Genomic DNA, 22,573 nt, shown 5'->3' with positions numbered 1-22,573 from the left:
TCCGAAGGGGTGCTAATGGGTGGCACTCAGTTGATTTCTCATTCTCCCCACTTCCCCAAATCACTTAGCTGGTATCTCCGTATAAACAAGCCCTTCTCTACTTGAACTGAGGACTAAAGGAAATATATTTGTCCATATAATGGGGCTTTTATCCAAGAAGCATTTCTCAAAGTGTGGTCCAAGACCACCCCTATCTGTAACGACTTATAAAAATACGGATTTCCTTCAGCTCAGCTACATTGCCACAAATGACAGGATTGTATTCTTTCTCGTGGTCAAATTTGTATTCCGAGGTGTATGTACACTTTCTTCATCCACTCATTTGTTGATGGACACAGGTTGATTCCATATCTTGGCTATTGTGAATAGTGCTGCAATACACATGGGAGTGCAGACAACTCTTTGGGAAATGGATTTCCCTGCCTTTCCTTTGGATATATACCCAGTAGTGGGATTACTGGATCATATGGTAAGTGAAATAAGCCAGGCACAGAAAGGTAAATACCACATGTTCTCACTTGTATGTGGAAGCTAAAAACGTTGAGCCTATAAAAGTAAGGAATAGGTTGGGTGCAGTGGCTCATGCCTGTAATCCCAGCACTTTGGGAGGCCAAGGCTGGCAGATCACGAGGTCAGGAAATCGAGACCATCCTGGCTAACAATGAAACCGCGTCTCTACTAAAAATACAAAAAATTAGCCAGGCGTGGTGGCACGCACCCGTAGTCCCAGCTACTTAGAATGCTGAGGCAGGAGAATCGTTTGAACCTGGGAGGCAGAGGTTGCAGTGGCTGAGATCACGTCACTGAACTCCAGCCTGGGTGACAGAATGAGACTCCATCTCAAAAAAAAAAAAAAAGAAAAAAGAAAGAAAAGTAAAGAGTAGAACTGTAGCTACTAGAAGCTGGGAAGGATGATGGGGAGAGGAGGATAGGGAGAGGTTGGTTAATTGTTACTAAATTACATCTACATGGGAGGAATAAGCTATAGCATTCTATGGCCCTGTAGTTGATAATTTGTTTTCATAATGGTTTCAAATATGAGAGAATTTTGAATGTTTCCAGCATAAAGACATAATAAATATTTGAGGTGATGAATATGCTGACTACCCTGATTTGAACATTATACCTTTGTTTACATGTATCAAAATATAATATGTGTCCCATAAATATGTACAATTATTATGTGTCAATTACAAATAATTTTCAATTTTAAAAATATGGATTTCCACTGTTTGGCAGCATCTACTAGAATTAGACATATGCCTATCCTGCACCCATCAATTCCATGGCTAAGAATATACAGGAGAATGGAGCATTTATGCCCAGCCAAAGATATGGTTAGGAACATTTGAGCGGCACTGTTCAATAGCCCCAAACTGGAATCAACCTAGACGTCCATCAACAGGAGAATGGAGGAGCAAACAGATTGTGATTTATCCATATTGGGCAATAAAAGTGAAGGAACTACCAATACAGTCAACATGATTCATCTCATAAACATGACATTGAGCAGGAGAATCCAGACATAAGAGTATCGGCTGTGTGATTCCATTTATAGGAAGCTCAAGAACAGGCTCAACTACTCTGTAGGGCCAGAAATTAGAATAATGTTACCTGGAGTGGGGCTGGGAGTTATTGACTGGGAAGGGGCATCAAGGAGGCTTTTGGGTTATTGGAAATGGTCAATATCTTGACCTGAATGGTGGTTATACACGTACTTATGTAAAAATGCACTGAGCTCTATACTTAAGATCTATAAACTTTACTATCTGTAACACACACACACGCGCGCACCACGCACTTCCCAGCCTTATTCCAGACCTACCAAACCCAAATCTCTCTGCGAATCTGCATTTTGCATCCCTGGTGGTGCCAATGCACATTGACTACCAGGGTTGCAGGTGGTGCGATTGTGAGGGGGTCATTTTGTCAACCCCCAAATCACACCAAACCCTATTTCCCATCTGGGGTGGAACATCACAAGATTTTCATACGTCAGTCCCTAAGGGAATAAGATTGGTGTGAGATTTCCCACCGGTTAAGATTATGGACAAGGACCCTGTGAACAAGATTGTCACAGTCCCTACCAAGACAGAAGCCACACTGTTATGGAAATATAGTTAGCCAACACTTTCACTTCCTTTCAATTGAAAGTTTAAAACAATTACTTCTATCCTTCAAACTTTTTGTGGACAAACATGTATTTTAAATTTAGAATCAGTCTATATGTAATGTTTGATCCTGTCCCTTTCTCTGTGTCACATCATCCCATGTTCAGCGTTATTAGCAAGAGGAGGCAGGACACGTTTGTCAAGTGTCTGGAATAGGCAAGACCTCCTGTATTTAGTCATCTCATTGGAGCCTTAAAACAAACCTATGAGCAAAAATACTAGGCTCATAAGGATTAAGCAACTACCGCAAAGGTACACAGCAAGTAGGTGCATAGTGGGGATTTGATCCTGATCTAACACCACAAAAAACTCTCTGGTGCTAACAGTCTACTACAGGATTCCAACTTTATTTTGTTTTAACTTGTGGCCATGAGTTACCTCTGTCATTACAAACTATGAGTAAACCTCATCTTAAAATATCTGCATCTTACCCAACTAGTAAACCATTATTTAATTATTCCCCTAATTTCGACATTATCTCCATGTTTGCCAATCAAATGTCTTGGTAAATGTGTTTTAACATAAACCTTGTATTTAGGATTAATAGATTAGGAGAGATTATTACAAATGGAATAACCAGGACAAAGACTATGCACATTTGAAAGACAGGAATAATTTTACTGAACTGCTCTCCAAAAATATTCTATTAATTTGTGTTCCTTTCAATGGTCAGCCTGTCTCATCCCACCCTCATCAACTTAAGGCATCATAACTTGAAACAAACTTTGCTAGTATGGCACTGCAATTCAATTTGCATGGGCGAGTTTGGTCGTTTTTTTTTTTTTTATTTTTTGTTTTTTATTTTTTTTGAGACAGAGTCTCACTCTTGTCCCCTAGGCTGGAGTACGATGGCACAATCTCAGCTCACTGCAACTTCTGCCTCCCAGATACAAGTGATTCTCCGGCCTCAGCCTTCCAAGTAGCTGGGATTACAGGCGCCCGCCACCATGCTTGGCTAATTTCTGTATTTTTGGTAGAGATGAGGTTTCACCATGTTGGCCAGGATGGTCTTGAACTCCTGACCTCAGGTGATCCACCCGCCTCAGCCTCCCAAAGTGCTGGGATTACAGGCATGAGCCACCGCACTCGGCCAAGTTTGATCATTTTTAATGTATTTATTATTCGGCTATGTTTTTCCTTACGTAAATGTCTTAGACTTTGAAGTGTGAACTCTTCATATGTGTATTCAGGAGCTGGTACTATTTTATATTTGTCATAAATATGCCTCATGGATTAAATTTTGTTTTCTAATAATGTTTACGTTGCTGACTGGTAAAATGACTTCAATCTTTGTGTAGTCAAATCTATCAGTAAATTTCTTCATGACTTTTTATTTCTTTTAAACTTAGAAATCTTAGAAAATTAATTACCAAGTCAGAAGAATATTCACGTTTATTTTCTTTTGTGTTGTGATTTTACTTTGTCCTTATCCATCAATCAGCCATGAATGTGGAAGTGTGTGGATGTGTGACACTGTGTGTATAAGTGTGTGTGTGTGTGTGTGCAGCCACAAGCACACTGTGAGGTGAAGATTCAACTAGATATTTTTAACTTGCTACTTCATTAAAAAGTCTTTTTTATAAAAACTATGATGTCACAAATAATTTATAGTAATTTTTCAAGATATTTTGTCATTACTATTTTCAAGGTCAATTTCAAAGTCACATTTTCAAGTTAAAAATTACCCCACTGACCTTTTAAAAAATTGCTACGGTTACGTTTGTGCTTGATACTCATATTTTCAAAGCAAAGCATATTCTATTTAGTGATACTTATATAGGTATTAAATCTATAAAGAAAAGCAAAGGAACGATCAAAACAAAAATCAGGATAGTGCTTGCTTCTGGGGAGGAGAGAAGGAGCTGTGATTAGGAAGGGTACATGAGAGAGTCTAAAGTGTTGGTAAAAGTCTATTGCTTAACTTGAGTAGTGGCCATATTATTGATCTTTGGTGAATAATAAGATAACAAATAATTTAGCAAATGAAGCAATAGATGTTTATAATCTCACATTTTCTGTGGGTCAGGACTCTGGGCACAGCTCTCTGCAAGGCTATAATCAAGATGTTGGTTGGTTGGGCTGCAGTTTTATCTGAGGCTTAACTGGGGAAGGATCAGCCTCCAAGCTCATGTGGTTGTCAGCACCATTTGGTCTCTTGCCTGCTGAGGACTGGAGGCTGCTCCTCAGTTTCCTGCTACGTGGCTACCATATAAGGTGGCTTACAACATGGCATCTTGCTTCTTTATAGCCAGCAAGGGACAGAGAGTCTCCAGCAAGACTCATGCTACAATCTTTTTTTTTTTTTTTTGACTGAGTCTCTGTCTCCCAGGCTGGAGTGCAGTGGCGTGATCTTGGCTCACTTCAGCCTCCACCTCCCAGGTTCAAGCAAATCTCCTGCCTCAGCCTCCCAATTAGCTGGGACTACAGATGCGCACCACCACACTCGGCTAATTTTTGTATATTTTTAGTAGAGTCGGGGTTTCACCATGTTGGCCAGGCTGATCTTGAACTCCTGACCTCAAGTGATCCACCCACCTCAGCCTTCCGTGGTGATGGGATTACAGATGTGAGCCACCGCACCCAGCCAAGACTCATGTTACAATCTTATGTAACGAAACACATAATCACATATGTGGAACACATACATCCCCTCACCTTTACCATCCCCCGTATGACTAGAGGCAGGTCACATGTTCTGCCCACACTCACAGGCAGGGGATCCCAGAACACAAGAGTTTCAGATTTCAGGGGCTCTGTGTTCATTTACATGTGTTTGTTTGGTAATTGTACATATACATTTGATACGTATTTCTAAACCTATGATAGGTTTCACAATTTAAATATTTTAAAACTGTGACACAATTATTGTAACTGATTAATTTAGATCTGAGTGCACCCACATACATCCAAGCAAAAAGGATCTCACTGCCATTGATGGCTGAGTCTGAAATAAAATCTAGAACTGACTCAGGTGCCCAGGATGACTGACTCCTCATTTCTGAGATATTGGCAGTTGCCATGAACTCAGAAGGCACTCTTTATATTGTACTTGGAAATTTTCAAATTGTTTAGAAATTACTACCATGCCCAACTTTGATTTGGAAAAAAAAGAGGAATTCGTTTAATCTATAGGTAATTTAAAAAGAAATACAATTTTTATAATACTTATGATGTACACAGACCGTATCTCCAAAGGTTGAATCTTCTTTGACCCCTTAATAAAGTTTAGTAGTTTTATTCATTCACGTACTACACCTTTCATGCCAAATTTTTCCTATATTTTATTTTTGTTCCTATTGTGAATGGGCTCTTTATTTTTAGATTTCTGTGGACTGGGGCTATTAACCAGGAACATGACTGAGTTTTGGATATGCACCAAGTCTCTTGCCACTGTGCTAAACTACCATTAATTTTCCAAGAGTTTGTTTTTTGTTTTTTGTTTTTTTTTTTTTTAGGGTTTCTACGAACACAATGGCAAGATCTGGAACCTATGCCAGTTCTTGTTTCCTCCTTTTCAGTGGCCATAACCTTGATTTACGTCTCAGGGACCCAAGTTCCATAAAAAGCTTTAGCGGTCAGAGTCATACATCTCAGACTGTCAGCATCTACTCCAGGCCAGTCGCTTAACCTCTCTGTGCCTCAGTTTCCTCATTTGGAACGTGGAGCCATCATGGAATCTTCCTCGTTGAGTTATTGTGAGGGTTAAATAAGACAATACCTGCTTTAGCACAGTGTCCAATTCAAAGCTCAATACGTTTATTGATAAAGCATCATCATTGTTATATTTTAACAGGAACTTAAAAATGAAAGGGAGGAGACCCCAAGTTGTTAACACCATGCGGGGTGGCAGGAGCAGGCAGCAGGGGACAATGACACCTACCAGGCCTCCTTCCTCCTTGGGGGATGGGGCTGCATGCATTCTAGGCAGCATCTTATTTATCAAGAGTTTCAGGGAGGTGAAATGGCAGTACCAGCATCCCATTACTAACTTGAAGTGAGACTCAAATCCAGCCCACCTCCCTGCAAAGCCCATGCTCACCTCCCCAAGTCACCATCCTGGAGGGAGGATTTGCTCGGCTCAGAGGTTCTGAACCCTGGCTGCATGGAGGAACGTTGCAGGTTCTCTAACAATCTCTATCGATGCCTGACCCCACCCTCGACTAAATGACTTTGACGCTCTGAGGGTACCTTGACCTCAGCATCTTTTCACAGCTCTCCATGTGGTTGTCATGACCAGGGATGAGAACCACAGGTGGCCTCACTCCGGCATCTATAACACTGACGTTTCAGGCAGTAACTATGGAAACCTGGCCCAAATTCTAGATGAACTCACACACACCCGTCTCTTGTTAATAAATGAATTTGTCCATTGCTGCCTATGATGGTTATTTTTAATGTATCAACTTGGCTGGGCCACAGTGTTCAGATATGTGGTCAAACATTAATCTGGATGTTTCTGTGAAGGTTTTTTTTTTTTTTTTTAAATGAAACTCACATTTAAATCTGTGGATTTTGAATACAGCGGATTGCCCTCTATAACATGAGCTGGCGTCATCCAATCATTTGAAGGCCTTACTAGAACAAAGACTGACCCTATCCTAAGCAAGAAGGAATTCTGCCAGCAGATAACCTTTGAACTTGGGCTATGGCTCTTCCCTGGAACTCCAGCCTGTCTTACAGGTTTTGGATTTACCATGCTTCCACAATCATGTGCACAAATTTTTCTTTTTTGAGACAGCGTCTTACTCCTGTTGCCCAGGCTGGAGTGCAGTGGCACAATCATGGCTCACTGCAGCCTCCACTTCCTGGGCTCAGATGAGTCTCCCACCTCCACCTCCCCAGCAGTTGGGACTATAGGTACACTCAATCACACCTGGCTAATTTTTTGTATTTTTTGTAGAGATGAGATCTCACTATGTTGCCCAGGCTGGTCTAGAACTCCTGTGCTCAACTGATACTCCCTGCTTGGCCTCCCAAAATGCTGGGATTACAGGTATGCGCTGCTGCACCTGGTCGTGTGTGTCAATTTCTTAAAAAATCTCTCTCTGTGTACATACACACACACACACACACACACACCCTGCTCCAATTCTCTGGAGAACCCTGATGAAACACTACCATGATAAAAACTGGCCTCTTACTCAGCACAGTCATAAACAAAGCATCCCACTTGTATTAGTCTGTTTTCACGCTGCTCATAAAGACATACCTGAGACTGGGAAGAAAAATAGGTTTAACTGGACTTACAGTTCCACATGGCTGGGGAGGTCTCAGAATCATGGCGGGAGGTGAAAAGGACTTCTTACATGGCAGCTGCAAGAGAGAATGAAGAAGGAGCAAAAGCAGAAACCCGTGATAAACACATCAGATTTCATGAGACTTACTATCACTAGAGTAGCACAGGAAAGACTGGCCCCCATAATTAAATTACCTCCCCCTGGGTCCCTCCCACAACATGTGGGAATTCTGAGAGAGACAGTGCAAGTTGAGATTTGGGTGGGGACACGAACAAACCATATCACCACTCTGGCTTGTTTTGAAAACCCTGAGCAGACAATGAGTGTCACAGAAGCACAGGATATTCAACCTTGCCAGGGGCAATACAGAGCACCTGGTCTAACTAAAATAGAACACTAGAGTTAGAAATAACCCTGGGGCTATTATGCCCCCCAGGGGACATTTGGCAATGTCTGGAGACATTTTTGGTTGTCACAACTGAATGGGGGTGCTGCTGGCATCTGGTGGGCACAGGTGAGGGACACTGCTCAGCATCCTAGAGTGCATAGGACAGGCCCTGCAACAGAAGTATCCAGTCAAAAATGTCATGGTGCCAAGGCTGAGAAACTCTTGTGTTAGGAGGAGGAAACACTTCATCATTGTGGAAACTAACTTCTCATCTCACAAAAGGTGATTGGGATCTCACAAAAGGTGATTTGGAGGGAGCCCTAAAGAGGCAACAGGAACCTTTTTGTGTTTTTTGTAGAGATGGGGCCCCATTATGTTGCCGAGGCTGATCTCAAATTCCTGGGCTCAAGCGATCCTCCCACCTCAGCCTCCCAAAGTGCTGGGGTTACAGGTATGAAACACCGTGCCTGGCCAACAGGAACCTTTTTGATGAACTGGAAAAAGAGCTTGGGGGAAAATATTACTGGCAAGGCCAGAACACGTTGGAGAAATTCTTTAGAAACCAGCTTTACCTTGGAGGTAGGACCAGGAGTCTAGCCAATGGGAGCTTCATGGACATGAATGTGTGGCTTAAATTACATTGCTGTGTGGGCATGAATCAGACGCTCTGCCCATGAAGAGTTCTAGCACCAAGTCAGTGCAAGACCCGAGGTGGTGAGTGGCCATCTGTGTTTTCTTGCTGCAGCTGTTGTTGTTGTTGTTTTAAATATCAGGAGCAATCTGATAAACTTTCTAGAGGAGCCCAGTACAGAGAACTAGGATGCCAGACTGGCTGTCTCTCTGCTAAGAATTATCCTATTGTTCTGACTATAAGATGTGCATGACTTCACATTTTAACCTTTTGAAAATTGGGACACATCCAGGCAGTAGCAGTCATGTGTGATGTTCAGAACACAATGCCTCGTTTCCTCAGTAAAGGTTTACTAAAAGAGTTCATGAGTAAGTGGGAAAAATGAATTAGGTACTAAACAAATAAATAATATTTTGGTTTCTTCATTTGTAAGTGGAGAGATTACAACAAAGTTGTACGAATCCATGGGAATGACATATTCAAGTGATTGAAAAAGGTTAAGTTTCCTTTGATGTTCCTCTCTCTTGCTTTTCTTCTCTCTTGTCTTTGGATGATGTTAAAAAACAAAGAAAAATTGAAAAGTAGAGCTGCATTGAGATGAATGTACCTTAACCTCAGGAAAGCAAACACACACACAACCAGAGGCACAGAAGCGGGTTGGGCAACACGTGGCTCCAGGGGCACATGAATTTCCAGTTGAGCATCTTAATGTATGACCGATTCCATACGAGGCAAGTGCAATGTGGCTACCTTGAATCAAACTAGTGAGTCCTCTGGCTATCCTAGTAGGGGCACTAGAAAGGAGAGGGCAGATGTGGCTCCAATCAACGGCATGGATGGGCTTGGGCCCCTTGGACACCGCACACTAGGACAGACACAGAGGTTACAGGGGCCCTGGCTGATGTGGCAGGGTCCCTCGCTATTGTCTCCATTCATTCACTTATTCATTCCTTCAGCAAATCATTGTTAGTGCTGAAGTAGTTTCCTGTGGCTGCTGTAACAGATTCCGACAAACTTGGTGGCTTAGACAGCACAGGTTCATTATCCTACAGCCCTGGAGAAATTAGAACTGTGTCTCACTGGACTAAACAGGATGTCAGCAGGGCTGTTCCTTTCTGGAGGCTCTGGGTGGGGTCTGTTTGTTTGATTTTTTTAGAGCTTCTAGGGGCTGTCTGGGTTTCTTGGCCTATGGCTTCTTCTATCTTCAAAACCAGCAAGGGTGAGCTGGGTCCTTTCCATGTCACATCTTTCTGACACATCTCTCTGACTCTCTTTTGTCTCCTCTCCCACCTTTTTTTTTTTTTTTTTTTTTTGAGACACGGTCTCACTCTGTCACCCAGGCTGGAGTGCTCAGCCATCACGGCTCACTGCTGCCTTGATCTCCCAGGCTCAAGTGATCCTCTCACCTCAGCCTCTAGAGTATCTAGGACTACAGGCATGCACCACCATGCCGAGATAATTTTTAAAATTTTTTAGGGGCGGGATCTCTGTATGTTACCCAGGCTGGTCTCGAACTCCTGGCCTCAAGCAATACTCCACCTCCTAAATGCTGGAGTTACAGGCATGACCACCAGGCTGAGCTCCTCTCTTGCTTTTAAGGGCCCTTGTGATGACAGTGGATCCACCCAAATAAACCAGGATGATCTCCCTGTTTGTTGTTTGTTGGTTGGTTGGTTGGTTTTTTGAGACGGAGTCTTGCTCTGTCGCCCAGGCTGGAGTGCAGTTGTGCGATCTAGGCTCGCTGCAAGCTCCACCTCCCGGGTTCACGCCATTCTCCTGCCTCAGCCTCCCGAATAGCTGGGACTATAGGTGCCTGCCACCATGCCTGGCTAATTTTTTTTGTATTTTTTAGTAGAGACAGGGTTTCACCATGTTAGCCAGGATGGTCTCGATCTCCTGACCTCTTGATCCACCCGCCTCAGCCTCCCAAAGTGATGATGATTTCCCTGTTTTAAGGTTAGCCAATTTACAACACTCATTCTCTCTGCCACCTTAATTTCCCTTTGCCAGGTATGGTGACATATTCACAGCCTCCTAGGATTCAGATGTGGATATTTTTGGGAGCAGGTGGGAAGCACTAATATGCCTGCCCCACCAGTTCCTAGGCTGTGCCAATATTGTGCTGATTATACATGGGGCAGATCAGAGGTGATCTCTCCTCCCACAGGGAGTATGCATTCTAGAGAGGAGGACAGCTCTCCAAGAGTAGTTATATATATCAAGTAGTACTAAGTGATACAAGAAGACATCTTATGGTCCAGGGATAGAGAGTTAAGGGGTGTAGTGTGATTGTTTTTGAGAGCATGGTCATGGAAAGCCTTTCTGTAAAGGTGATAACAGAGCAGAGACCTGGATGTTGAGAAGGAGCCTCTGATCTGGGGCAGAATAATCCAGGCATAGGGGAAAGCAAGAGCAAAGGCCCTGAGGCATGCACAAGGAATTGTCAGAAAGCCAGCCGTGTTGCCGGGGCAAGGTGAAAAGGGGGTCAGAGAAGGGAGATGATGGTGATCAAAGCAGGGATCAGATTACTGGGATGTTATGGGCCAAGTGGTTTGGGATTTGTTGTTGTTGTTGTTTTGTTTTGTTTTTTTGTTTTATTTTGTTTTTTGTTTTGTTTTTATTTTTGGAGACAGAGTCTCACTGTGTCATCCAGGCTGGAGTGCAGTGGTGCGATCTCGGCTCACTGCAGCCTCCACCTCCTGGGCTCAAGCAATTCGCCTGTCTCAGCCTCCCGAGTAGCTGGGGTTACAGGCACGCACCACCACGCCTGGCTAAGTTTTGTATTTTTAGTAGAGACGGGGTTTTGCCATGTTGGCCAAACTGGTCTCGAGCTCCTGACCTCAGGTGATCCACCCGCCTCACCTTTCCAAAGTGCTGGGATTACAGACTTGAGCCACCACTCCCGGTCCCTGGGTTTTAATTCTGAGGAAAATGGGAAGCCACTGGAGGGCTTTAGGAAGGGTGGCAGCATGCTCTGATTGACACTGAAAATGATCACCTTTGTTGCTGAGTGCGATCGGTTTGCGGGGGACAAGGGTGGAGGCTGTGAGAGCTGGTGGGAAGGCATCTTGGCTGGCTGAGAGTAGAGTAATGAAAACAGGCAGCCGCGGGATCTGTTTTGTGGTGGAACCCATAGCGCTGCAGACAGAGTACATGTCAGGTGAGAGAAATATGGAGGGATCAGGGAGGATTAGACTCTGCCTGAGCCAACAAAGTCTCCTTAAAGGGAGGGGCTGGTTAGCCTGGAGCAGAGACCATCTGGATCAGGGATTCATGAACACTCCCTTGAAATGCCTGAATGCCTGTCATGGGGGAACAGATTCTCTTGATTCTCTCCGCCCTTAGATGTGAAAACAAAGCCCAAATGAAGGACAGATAAAGAGAGGGAGATATCAGCTAACCTAGACATCTCATATTGGAAGTGGCATGAGCTGCGGGGCCAGAGGAAACAGCATGCAACCCTGACTCTGCTGTTCCAGTGCTGGGATTGGGACAGGTTATCTGAAGTCTCTGACATGACATTTCACAATCTCTAACGTGATAGAGGTAATGTTACTATAATACTAAAAACAACAGCACATGCTTACATATCTGTGATTTGTGATGTGACAAGAAGTATATTTTGATCTCTGCTCTCAGTTCCTGAGATAAGAATCCTAAAACCCTGGTAGATAGGGGTGCTAGGAGAATCTTTTGTTCTAATCGATTTAGTCTTTTCCTCTTGGTTCCTGACACACAGCTCCTGAATCCCTTGGCATTTCCAGGGTGATAGGGGCATTTCCTCTTCTAATGATGTGACTCTTGGTGGGCTCCTCGATAGCCCCAGGGTGGGGGGCTGGTTGCCAGGGTAACCAAGCATGTGAGTAAAGGGCTGGAACTTTGATCCCCACCCTTTGAGGAGAGGAGATGGGCTGGAGGTTGAGTTGATTACCAATGGCCAGTGATGTCATCAACCATGCCTATGTAATGAAGTCTCCATAAAAACCCAAAGGGACAGGGTTTGGCGAGCTTGCAGGCAGCTGAACATGTGGGGATGCCTGGAGGTGGGGAGGTGCCATCAGTAAGGGCATGGAAGCTCCCTGTCGCCTCCCCACACCTTTTCCCACGCATCTCTCCCATCTGGCTGCTCATCTCTATCCTTTGTAACATCCTTTATAATAAATGGGTCATCGTAAGACAAGTATCTCCCTGAGTTCTGTGAGCCGCTCAAGCAAATTAATCAAACCTGAGGAATGGGTCACAGGAAACCCCAATTTATAGCCAGTTGGTTAAAAGTACAGGTCACAACCTAGGGCTTGTGACTTGCATCTGAAAGGGGGGCGGTCTTGTGGGACTGAGCCCTTAACTTGTGGGATCTGACGCTCTCTAGGCAGACAATGTCAGAATTGAATTGAATTAGAGGATGCCCAGCTGGTGTCTGCTGGAGAATTAGTTGCTAGTGAGGATAAATCCTCATGCATTTTTGGTGACCAGAGGTGAGTGGTGTGTGTGGGAAACTAGGAGAGACTGGTTCTTCCTGTCTCTCACAATAGCGCTTTTAACATGTGAAACACAGTTCTAACAGCTGTGTGTGTGGAAACTCATTCCTCACAGCAGCCTGAGGACACAGGTGCTCCTATCATTGCCATTTTAGAAAGAAGGCACAAGGAAGTTGAGTTATTTGCTTAAGGTCACACAGCGAGTATAGGGCACCGTCATCATACATCATACAATCATCTCTACAAGATACAGACTGCCTGTCCTTCACCTCCACCTATCAAACACATCAGTCAAAACACGGCATGTGCCATTATTAACTGTTTTGTGATGACACAATGCTATTTAGTTTCAGGATCAAAATTCAGCATGCTCTCAAAGTCTGGAATTGTGGCTGGAAGCGAACACGTTGGCATATAAAGTGGATAAAAGGCAAGACAGTTCTTCCTTTAGATTCTAGATTCAATCACACAAACTCACTCTATAGCCCTCAGACCACAGCTGGAATGTTTTTCCCCAATGGTGATGATCCTTGGGGGCTGCGGCTGACCAAGGGCCGCGGCTCCTCTGCAGAAAGTCCAGGTTGGCACCGTGGTGGACCCTGGAAAAAAGGTGTTCTCAAGGGGGGCACCTCACTAGGCTGTTTGCCTCTCCTCCCTCTGGCCTCTTGCACTGCACTTCTGGTTGCATTAAACTTCACAACCCACTATTTTGGAAACATGGAATAAAAGGGCTTCAATCACATGACAGTGGCTGGTACTGTCCAGATCTGAGTGTTGCACAAGAACGTACTTTGGTAGTAATTCAGCCATCCTTTCGTTATATGTTAAGTCCTAAGGCATTGAGGTTTTATTGAGTACTTTCTAAGAGCTGGACACCACTGGGGATACAACAGTGAATAGGACAGACACAGTTCTGCCTCATGCTGAGCTTTTGTCAACAGACAAAATGATTGTCAAGAGTGACAAATACACCATGCGCTGGCTGGAGCATGAAGGGAGGACATGGTGGAAATGCAGATTGTCCTCCAAGTTCAATGAGAAGCACTGAGGGACGATCTGGCAGGAGAGTGATGAAGGCTGGGCTGGGAGTGGCAGCCAAGCAGGAAGAGAGATAGAGCTGAGATACAGCTTGGATCAGATTCAATACCAGATTGATGGATGGATGAGGTTAAAAAGGAAGCAAAAGGAATCAAAGGTGATGCTGAGCTAAACAAGGAAGCTGGTGGGGTTATCTACTGAGATATTGAGGCAATCACAGGGCCAGTGATAAGAGAAGACTTTGGGGGAGAAACTCAAGAGTCTGTGAGTCACCACATGGTTATGTCAGGTACACAGCTGAATATGCAGGTCTGGACCTTAGTTGAGCTGTCTGGACTAGACATTCTGGTCCAGTTTTTGTCCCCTGTAATGTAAACTACTTCTGATCTCCTTTTCTGAGAGGCATGGAATTTAAAATTCCACTTGCCAATCAGTGGCTGCACTCAATATGCCTCAGGCTTTGTTAATCTGCACTAGAACAGACACCACATCAGGCAGCAACTGCAGGTGGGGCTACCACTTGGCTATGTTTCTAAAGTTCCAGGGTCTTCTGCTATGATCCATATAATTTTTATAGGATCGGGCTAGTGAATCAAATAGCATGTGAGAGGCACCACTGCTCCTGGATGCTTCAAGACTCTGAGGATGGCCCTAGCCCTTGCCATTTTCCTGGGATGCAATATCGTTCCTCCTTCTCTTAGCCACGTAAGAGAAGAGAAGAGAAAATCATTCCCTATCTTGGCAGGAAGTTGAAATTCCAGGGCTCCAGTTGGTCTTTTCTACTGTAATAACTTTTACACTGCAGGTCAGGGGCAGAGTGAGGGTCCTCCCGATGGCTAAGAGTGTCCTTCCTACAAACATTTAGGGCCCAGGGAAATGAGCGTGGGGTGGGTGTGGGGACTCAGTGCACTACCATGAGACACACCTGGGCCAGAGCTCTATTTGCTACCTGACTCCCATATGGCCAATGATAACAGGGGAGCCTGGGTGATGTTTTGGATTCCTGGATACCAGCATCAACCCAGACCCTGTATCGAACAGCACCAGAAACATCTCTTACTTTCCCCTAGTGCATGGTTACTTGAGTAAGTGGCCACAGGGTCTTTAGGGGTATTAAATGAGGGAGTCGCTACTGTCTCTACTTCAAGTTCTACCTTGAGGCAAGGGAACCTGCCATTTACGCCCTTGTATCAGGAAGTCATTGGCCAAGCCTGAGGTTGGTGGCCTGCCCAGTAAGGCTTCCTGTTGGCTGGGGGCTGTTCTGCGGAAAAGGGAGCAGCTGTGAGATTCTATCAGCACCATTTCTAGCAGGAAGGGACTAGGATATGGACTAACAGAGGGGCTGCAGTTGGAATATCAGTAGCATTCGCCAGTCATCTGCTGAGGGCAAGAGATAGATGGGGAGGTTAGAGAATTACAGAAAACAAAGGAGGCTCAAGAAACACTTTTTAGAGAATGAGATTTTGGATAGCATGCCACCCATCTGAGCATGGCAACATGTGTTGTGATGGAATCTGCATTAGCCAGTGTTCTCTAGAGAAACAGAACCAATAAAAAGATAGAGAGAGGTACATAAATTTACTATAAAGAATTGGCTCATGAAATGATGGTGGGCTGATAAGTCCCAAGGTCTGCAGTTGGCAAGCTGAAGACCCAAGATTGCTGACAGTGTAGTTCTAGTCTACATCTGAAGGCCTGAGACCTAAGAGAGCCAATGGTGTAGTTCTCTTCGGAAGACCAGTAGGTGCAAGACCCAGGAAGGGCTAACATTTTTGTTCAAATCCAAAGGTAAGAAAAAGACCAATGATCCAGCTCAAAAGCAGTCAGGCAGGAGGCATCCCCTCTTATCTGGGAGAGGGTCAGCCCTTTTCTTCCAGTCAGACCTTCAGCTGATTGGACAAGGCCCACTCACAGGGGAAGGGCAGCCTGCTTTAACTCAGTCGGCTACTTCAAATGCTAATTTCATCCAAAAAGACCTTCACAGAAATGCTGAGAGTAGTGTTTGACCAAATGTCTGGGCACCTTGTAGTCCAAGCATATTGATGCATACAGAACCATCACATTAAACCATCACAGAATCCATCTTCCTGGCTGGCCTGTCCACAAGGCAGAAGAGAAAGTGGAGAGTTGGAGCCATCTCGGCTTGGAATGCTGACGTAAAACTGTGAAGAAGGAAGGGAGGCAGAAGACTTTAGAGTAAGGGTGGATATTAAGGTAAAATCTGGGATCTGGCTTAAAAGAGGAGAACAGAGAGGGCTGGTGAACTTGGGAGAAGCTAAAGTGTCAGTGGCTCATCACAGTCACAGATGGAGCAAACAGAAGCAGTATTGGATGAGGTCACTAGGGTTGCTGTAATAAAGTCTCACAAACCAGGTGGCTTCAAATAGCGGAAATGTATTCTCCCACAGTGCTGGAGGCCAGAAGTCCAAAATCAAGGTGTTAGCAGGGTCATGCAGCCTCTGGGTGGAATCCTTCCTTCCCTCTAGCAGCTTCTGGTGGTGCCCATGGGCCCTTGGCATCCTGTGGCTGGCAGCTGCATCACTCCAAGCTCTTCCTCTGTCATCATATGGACGACACAAGGAGAGCTCCCTGTGTGTCACAGTCTCCTTTTTATAAGGATACCAGTCATACTGGATTAGGGCCCACCCCAAGTGACTTCATCTTAACTTGATTACCTCTGTAAATAGTCTATTTCCAAATAAGGGCACATACATAGGTCCCGGAGGTTAGGACTTTAACATATCTTTTCAAGGAGACACAGTTCAACCCATAACAGGCATAAACTCTAAACGTCATGGCTTACCATGTGATATGATTTGGCTCTGTGTCCCCACCTACATCTCATCTTGAATTGTAATCCCCACACATAGTGGGAGGGGCCTGGTGAGAGGTGATTGGATCATGGGGGCAGTTCTCCTATGCTGTTCTTGTGATGGTGAGTGAGTTCTCATGAGATCTGATGGTTCGAAAGTGTGTGGCACTTCTGCCCTCTCTCCTGCCACCACGTAAGATGTGCCTTGCTTCCCCTTTGCCTTCCTCTATGAAAGTAAATTTCGGCCAGGTGCGGTGGCTCACACCTGTAATCCCAGCACTTTGGGCGGCTGAGGCGGTTGGATCACCTGAGGTCAAGAGTTTGAAACCAGCCTGGCTAACATGGTGAAACCCCGTCTCTACTAAAAATACAAAAATTAGCTGGTCGTGGTGGTGCTCACCTGTAGTCCTATCTACTCAGGAGGCTGAGGGAGGAGAATCACTTGAACCCAGGAGGCGCAGGTTGCAGTGAGCTGAGATTGCACCACTGCACCCCAGCCTGGGTGACAGAGCGAGACTCAGCCTCAAAAAAAAAAAAGAAAGAAAGAAAAAAAAAAAGTAAATTTCCTGAGGCCTCCTCAGCCATGCTGAACTGTGAATCAGTTAAACTTCTTTTCTTTATAAATTACCCAATCTCAGGCAGTTCTTTACAGTAGTGTGAAAACAGAGTAATATACCATATTGCTGTGAAAATTAAATGAGGTGATGAATGATAAGATATTTTTGAAAGGAAAAAAGCACAGCAAATTATTGTTTCCTGTACTAGTTAGGTCACTAGTAACAGTCTCTTGCTTGTCTTGGAATGGATAGTCATTCAGATGGAGATGATTAGTCAGGCTCAAGGTAGAGACACTTTGAACTGGAAGATTCTGACCTATCGGCATTTCTCCATTTGAAATAGTTCCAAAGACAAATGATTACAGAAACCACAAACTCAAGGGTCTTCTGAGCCATAAATGAAATACCATTCTTGGAGTCAGCAACATGGAATGTGTTAATTATTACTGAGATGTGGAAATATGTCACAGCATTGACAGTGAGCTTTATTCATTCAAACCTCCTCACTTGGACTTTGTGATATTCCAACCCAGAGATTTAGTCTTTTTATATGACTATCTCATAAAAAGGTGTGTTTACTTTTTTTGCTCTTTTTTATGGTAAAAATACAGAAAATTAAAATTAACCTTCTGGCCGGGTGCCGTGGCTCACGCCTGTAATCCCAGCACTTTGGGAGGCCAAGGCGGGCAGATCACCTGAGGTCAGGAGTTCAAGACAAGCCTGGTCAACATGGTGAAACCCCATCTCTACTAAAAACACAAAAAATTAGACAGGCATGGCAGCGCATACCTGTAGTCCCAGCTACTCGGGAGGCTGGAGGGGAGAGAATCGCTAGAACCCAGGAGGCGGAGCCTGCAGTGAGCCGTGATCACGCCACTGAACTCCAGCCTGGGCAACAGAGCGAGACTCCGTCTCAAAAAAAAATAAATAAATAAAATAAATAAATAAATAAATAAATACAAAATAAATAAAATAAAAAATAAAATAAACTTTCTTAACCACTTTTATGTGTACAGTTCAGTAGTGTTGAGTATATTCACATTATTGTGCAACAGATCTTTATAATGTTTTCATCTTGCAACCATGAAACTATATCCACTAGACGCTACTTCCCCTTCTCTCTTCCCTCTGGCTGTTGTTAACCACCCTTCTGCTTTCTGTTTCCATAATTTTGACTATGTTAGATACTATAGAGTTAAAATAGATCCCTACAGTATCTGTTCTTCTGCAGATGGCTTTTTGTGTTTAGCATAATGTCTTTGAAATTGTTGCATGTTGTAGCATGTGACAGGATTTTCTTCTTTTTAAGGCTGCATAGTAGTCTATGTTATGTATATACTATATTTTCTTTATCCATTCATCTGTTGATGGGAATCTAGGTTGCTTCCACCTGTTGGCTATTGTGAATAATGCTGTACTGAAAACATGTATGTACAAATATCTTTCTGATACTCTGCTTTGAATTCATCTAGATATAAACCCAGAAGTGGGATTGCTGGATCATATGGTAACTCAATTTTCAATTTTATGAGGAACTTCTGTATTTTGTTTTCTGTCTTGTATTTCCACTAACAGTGCACAAGGGCTCCAACTTCTTCACATCCTTGCTGACACTTATTATTTTCCATTCTTTTGATAGTGGCCATCCTGATGGATGAGGTGACAATACATTATGGTCTTGATTTGCATTTCCCTAATGATTAGTGATATTGAGCATCTTTTTATGTGCTTATTGGCCACTCATATCTTCTTTGGAGAAATGTCTATTTAAGTCCTTTCCCCATTTAAAAATTGTCTTATTTGTTTGTTGTTGTTGTTGTTGAGTAGTAGAAATTTCTTATATATTCTGCATAGCAATCCCTTATCAGATACATAATTTGCAATTATTTCCTCCCATAGGTTGCCTTTCCACTATGTTGATTGTTTCTTTTGATGCACAAACGTTTTTGAGTTTGGTGTAGTCTTATTTGCCAATTTTTGTTTCTGTTTCCTGTGCTTTGGGTGTCATATATAAATCATTGCCAAATCCAATGTCCTGAAGCTTTTCTCCTATGTTTTCTTCTAGGGGTGTAATAGTTTTAGGCCTTACATTTGGGTCTTTGATTCATTTTCAGTTGATTTTCATATCTGCTGCAAGGGAAAAGTCCAACTTCATTCTTTTGCAGGTGGATATCCAGGTTTTCTGACACCATTTTTTAAACAGACTATCCTTTTTTCACTCTGTGGTCTTGGAACTCTTGTAGATTATTTGGCCATAAATGCAGGGGTTCGTCTCTTGGCTGTCTGCTCCTGCCATTGATCTATATATTCATCTTTATGCCAGTACCACTACTGTTGCTTTGTATTATGTCTTGAAATCAGGGAGTGTGAGTCCTCCAGCTTTGTTCTTTTTAAAGATCATTTTGGCTATTTGGGGTCCTTGTAATTCCATATGTATTTTAGTATTTTTTTCCAATTTCTGCAACAAATGCAGTTGGGATTTTGACAGGGATTGCATTGAATGTGTAGACTGCTTTGGGTAATATGGACGTTTTAACAATATTAATCCTTCCAATTAAAGCACATTGGATGTTTTTCCATTTATTTGTATCCTCTTTGATTTCTTTCACCAATGTTTGGTAGTTTTCCATGTACAAGTCTTTTACCTTGGTGGTTAAGTTTATTCCCAAGTATTTTATACTTTTTGATACTATAGTAAATGAACTTGTTTTCTTAAAAATTTCCTTTTTCAATTGATCATGGATAGTGTATAGGAACACAATTGATTTTTGAGTGTTGATTTTGTATCCTGAAATTTTGCTAAATTTGTTTATTCATTCTAGCAGTTTTTTGGTAGGATCTTTAGGGTTTTCCACATATAAGACTGTGTCATTTCCAAATAGAAATAATTTTAAGTCTTCTTTTCTGGTTTGTATGTCTTTAATAATTTCTTTTTCTTTTCTGATTGTTCTGGCTAGAACTTCCAGTATTATGTCAAATAATAATGGTGAGAGTGGGCATCCTTGCTTGGTTCCTGATCTTAGAGGAAAAGCTTTCAGTGTTTCTCCATTGGGTATGATGTCTGTTGTGGGTTTTCCATGTATGACTTTTACTATGTTGTGGTAGTTTCTTTCTATTCTTAGTTTGTTCAGTGTTTTTTTTATCATGAAAGGGGGCTGAATGTTGTCAAATATTTTTTTCTGCATCCATTGAGATGATCAGGCAGTTTTAGTCCTCCATTTTGTTACATTGATTGATTTTCATATGTTGAACCATCCTTGCATTCTAGGCATAAATCCCACCTGGTCATGATATATGATCCCTTTAACATGCTGTTGAATTTGGTTTGGTAGTATTTTGTTTAGGATTTTTGCATCAATATTAATCAGGGGTTTATCTATAGTGTTTTTTTCTTGCTGTGTCTTTGTCTGGTTTTGGTATCAAGGTAATTCTGTCCTCATAGAATAAGTTTGAGAGTGTTCTCTCCTCTTCAGTTCTTTGGAAGAGTTTCAGAAGAACTGATGTTAGTTCTTTAAATGTTTGGTAGAATTCTGTAGTGAATCCTTCTAGTCCTGGGCTTTTCTTTGTTGAGAGCTGTTTGATTACAGCTTCAATCTCCTCACTAGTTATAGATCTGCTCAGATTTCCTGTTTGATTATGACTTAATCTTAGTTGGCTATATGTTTCTATGAATTTATTAATTTCTTCTAGGTTATCCAATTTTTTGGTTTTTTGCTTTGTTTTCTTTTTGTTTTTGATGGAGTCTCGCTCTGTCACCCAGGCTGGAGTTCAGTGGCACGATCTCAGCTCACTGCAAGCTCTGCCTCCCAGGTTCACGCCATTCTCCTGCCTCAGCCTCCTGAGTAGCTGGGACTACAGGCACCCACCACCACCCAGCTAATTTTTTTGTATTTTTTAGTAGAGACGGGGTTTCACCATATTAGCCAGGATGGTCTCGATCTCCTGACCTTGTGACCCACCCACCTCGGCCTCCCAAAGTGCTGGGATTACAGGTGTGAGGCACCACGCCCGGCCATTTTTTGGTATTTTTAAGTCTTTAAAGTCATGTATTATCAAGGCATATATGAACATTTTATGCCAAATATAATTATCATAATGGTTTCAAAAGGATTGTTGAAGGAAATAGAGTGTAACCTGCTTTGAATAGAATTAAAGGCAATTTGAATGCTGCAAATCATTGTAAGCACCTTATTTTAAAATAGTTTAATTTTCACTTCAAAATAATGTTTCCATGATTAGAAAAACAATTAGAAAAAAACCATGAAAATTTATATGGAATCAAAACCAAACACATTCCTAGAAAATACTGTGAACATTTTTCTTATTTTCTTTCTAACTTCTTAAGTGTGTGGCTTATAATCACTCATTTATTTATCAAGCACTTTGGCTGCACCAGAGAGTAAAAGGGATACAATTATTACAAACCACCTGTTTACTTCAGTCATGACCCTGCAGATATTTATGAAGGGAAGACTGTTCTTGGCAAGAAGAAAATGGCATGTCACTAATAGCTTTTACTCAAATTGTTCAGTTGTCTGCAAATTCTATGGCCTTCTGGCCTGCCTTGCCCCATTCCCCCTTCTGCCTGAAAAACCAGGTCTCATTGCATTTTCCTTTTTCAATTTTGGCCTTCTTGGGAACCAAGTGAAGGAAAGGTCAATTCCTGTGTTTGGAACGATCGGTCTGGTATTTGGTTGTAATGAGAAGACCCAGCAGGTGTTTCACCAAAAACCGGGGTCAGAAACGTGGGGTTTGTTGATTTTTGCCTTGGCATAGGAAAGCCAACCACCAATAGCTATGGTAAGGAGCAGCGGCTCCAGGGGCTGACACCCCCAAAGGGAGAAGTGATTGGCAGTACTTCATTCTTCAGCACACAGAGAAAAGAGCCTGGCTTGAAACCTGGGTCCCAGATGCCATGAAGTTAAGGTGACACTCCCTGAGTGTTGTTTGCAGTAGGAACTTCCGCCACCTCCCACTCAAGGCACAAAGGGGTAATGACTGAAATCTACTTCACTGTGGGATGGAAGATTTTTGAGCTGAGATTTGTCTGTGGCTAGGCCAGCAGTCATCAGATACTGTATGTCAGGCAAGATGCCTATAGCTTAAAAAAGACTCTAGAAGGCTGCTCACCAACACAGTGGAACTAATCTCCAGGCTTCTGATACTAGAGATTATGTTCTTTTTCTCTGGATTCTTTGGACATTCGAATCTTTAAATGATCAGGAAGCTGACCCTCCAATGTTCCCCAGAGCTACTTCCCA

The sequence above is a fragment of the Homo sapiens genome, chromosome 4 (assembly GCF_000001405.40).
Source record: "Homo sapiens chromosome 4, GRCh38.p14 Primary Assembly".
NCBI classification, from domain to species: Eukaryota; Metazoa; Chordata; class Mammalia; order Primates; family Hominidae; genus Homo; species Homo sapiens.
Note: the sequence above shows the minus strand (reverse complement) of the source record.